Consider the following 3417-nt stretch of genomic DNA (forward strand, 5'->3'; position numbering starts at 1 on the left):
TTAGACATGAGTTCTAAATTTCTTTTCAAAGACTCAATATGTCAGTATGTTAAATCCTTTACCTTCTACTTTTAAACTTAACTTCCTCATAAAGCAACCTTTTTCAATTACCTGCTCCACTGTGACTCATTTCAATCACCTGCTCCACCCTGACTCATTCTGATTACCTGCTCTGTCATAACCATTTTTCCTGCCAAACCATTTACCCCATCACGCTCTTTAAATTAGCCAATCGGAATTAGTTTAGCCTGTGCAGTCTAACCCTAGCCAATAGGGGAACGACACAGCAGCAGGGGCCAAGTAAGTCAGGGATAAGAACCCCTTCCCTCCCTTGTTCAAGTGTGTGCTCACCATTGCTCCATCTTTAAGGGTGCACCCTTCTATAGAAGTACCTTGCCTTGCTGAGAATTAAAAAGAAAATTTTATACTCGAGTGCTATTTCTTTTGTGGCACCGAAACTTTATAACAATCATGATGGCCAGACTGGTCTCAATCTCCTGACCTCAGGTGATCCGCCCACCTTGGCCTCCCAAAGTGCTGGGATTACAGGCTTGAGCCACCACACCTGGGCTGTCTTTTCTAAATTGAATATATTTCTGTAACCATTCTATCTTTTTAAAGTTATAGTAAATGAATTGTATTATTTTTAATATTTCAAGACAACATGATACAATCATTTCAACTCACCTTTAGTTTCAAAATCTTTAAAATGAAGGTTTTCATACAATTTTGGAGCTAGAGAATATGTTATGTACTGTAACACTTTCATTTTCAGACCAAGACTTTGAGGTCCAGAGAAGTTAAATTATTTGTCCAAAATTAAATAGCTCATTAGTTACAACGTCAGAACAAGAAGCCTGGTTCCTGCCTTCCTGTCCAGTGCTCTTTCTATAGCAGGACTGCATCTCCATTTAAAGTGTCATTTATATTTGAATACCATGAGTATAAGTCATCATTTTCACATCGTGTGTATTTTTCCCCTTCAGTATTCATAATTAGAACACCCACAAAAGAGAAATCTTCCAATAAAATTGGATGTCCCTACAGGTCCCCAGAGTTGTTATTGACAGAGTGAACAGTGAAAGTCCCTGGGCTTTATGTTCTGCTCTGCTGCTGATTTGGTGTATAACTTTGAGATTATTTCCCCCTTGGGCTTTCCTAATGTGTTGGATTCCAGTTATAGACAGAATATCTGAAAGCCCTCATCTAAGTCAGTCTATTGAGAAAAATGTGTATACTAACAGGAAAAATAGAAAATTAAAAAGACAGTTGAAAAACAAGATATACAGCATCATTTAGGAAATTAAATTTGAGGAAGTGCACTTACTTTTAACCCAGGAACTTGATCCTCATGTCTCTCACGGTGGTTAAGGGTATATTTCTAAGCCTCTCCTCTTAAGTGTAATAATCACTTACATAGATTATTGATCTATCTTGGCCAGAAAGCACAGACTCTGAACATCTGACATAAGTGTTATAAAGGACCAATTAACTGACCTAAGTATGAAAATAATCGTTTGTTAATTAAAAAAAAATCAAACAAGGTGACTTCCTGTTAAACTCTTGATTGAACACACATTAGTTTCTCTGGCCATTTTCAAATATAAAAATGACTGTAAATTTCTTTTTAATAAAAGGGACTTAAATACACAAGGAAAGGGGACTGGGAGAGGAGAGGAAATGTATACAAAACTTTGGAAGCTGGAAATCAGAAGGTGCGTGGCCGTATGCTTGACTGACCAGGAGAAGCTGGAACCAGGACATCACTGCTCAGAAAGTCTGTTAGGCAGGGGACAGTGGCTCATGCCTGTTAAATCAAATTTAGCCTAAAGCTGCCTCCTTACATATTTTAAGTTTGGCTTAAAGATTTCTCTGTACATGGTGAACTCTAACAAGTGGAAGTGTGAACAGACCATAGCCTACACTTGTGCCAATCACCAAGTTTTGGCCAATCAAATGTAGCCAGCTGTTTGAACTGTGTTCAAATAATGCTCACAGCTCACTGCAGCAGAGCCATCTTCCCCCACCATTCTGTCTGAAGTTGCTGCCACCACCCCTTGGTTCACTCTGCATCACACCAACATCCGTATCTTCTGTCTCCTCTTACACATGCACAGGTGGTCTTTGTCATTGTCTTCCCTCGTGGGAATATGAGCTCCTTTCAAAGAAGGACTCAGTTGTCTTGTTCAGCACTATGTCCCTGCCTGGTATGCTTTGCTTGCGTGAATGAATTCATGGTGATTATTTAGTTCCTACTAGTTCTTACAAAATGTATTTTCTTCCAAAATGCTGCCATCTTTATTCCCATAACTACCGTCTTGGCACAATCCCTCATCTCTTTACTCTGAGGTAAGCACAGTTGTTTCTCAATTACCCAGAACCCCACATGTTACTTCTAGACGATTCTTCCTAAAGTACCATCTTTGTTGTGAACTCTCCCTAGGATGGTTTTGTCGATGCCTGTCAGTCAAAGACCACCAGGAACACACTGTTAGTTGAAGAAGTTGGGTTTATTATTCATTGCAGTGAGAGAGAACACACGCCATGGGGACTCATGGGTGTCTCAGACAAAGGGCGTGAGAAAGAACCTATTATGTGACTTGGCAGGCGTGGTGGCTCATGCCTATAATCTCAGCATTTTGGGAGGCTAAGGTGGGTGGATCGTCTAAGGTCAGGAGTTCCAGACCAGCCTGGCCAACATGGCGAAACCTCATCTCTACTAAAAATACAAAAAAAAATTAGTTGGGCGTGGTGGTGCATACCTGTAGTCCCAGCTACTCAGGAGACTGAGGCAGGAGAATCGTTTGAACCCGGGAGGCTGAGGTTGCAGTGAGCTGGGATCATGCCACTGCTCTCCAGCCTGGGTGACAGAGTGAGACTCCGTCTCAAAAAAATAATAAAATAAAATAAAAAATAACCTATTATGTGACTTGGCTTTCGTTGAGTGATCTGAGGAAAGGCCCAAGGAAGTGCGGTATGCTCTAGATTGGATGTTGCCAGAAAGCAGGGGTGATTCTATGATTTCATGTCTTAATAAATCTTTGTTGTTGTTGTGGTTGTTGTTGTTTTGAGATGGAGTCTTGCTCTGTCACCAGGCTGGAATGCAGTGGTGTGATCTCGGCTCACTGCAACCTCTGACTCCCAGGTTCAAGCAATTCTCCTGCCTCAGCCTCCCGAGTAGCTGGGACTACAGGCACATGCCACCACGCCCTTCTAATATTTGTATTTTTAGTTGAGATGGGGTTTCACTATGTTGGCCAGGATGGTCTTGATCTCTTGACCTCATGATCTGCCCGCCTCGGCCTCCCAAAGGGCTGGGATTACAAGCATGGGCCACTGCACCTGGCCAATACATCTTAACTATAGGGAGAGGAGTTTAGAACTAGGATAAAGTTATAATTGGTAAAGAAGCAACAG

The 3417-nt window shown here is 41.4% G+C and overlaps 1 annotated feature.

Annotated features, from left to right (window-relative positions):
* Positions 277–376: an enhancer, noted in NCBI's record as "active region_16289". NCBI's record gives its function as "activates an Ori minimal core promoter by ATAC-STARR-seq in GM12878 lymphoblastoid cells {active_cell/tissue: GM12878}" and the evidence as "EXISTENCE:reporter gene assay evidence [ECO:0000049][PMID:35858748]".

This window comes from Homo sapiens, chromosome 2 (genome assembly GCF_000001405.40).
Source record: "Homo sapiens chromosome 2, GRCh38.p14 Primary Assembly".
In the NCBI taxonomy this organism is placed as follows: Eukaryota; Metazoa; Chordata; class Mammalia; order Primates; family Hominidae; genus Homo; species Homo sapiens.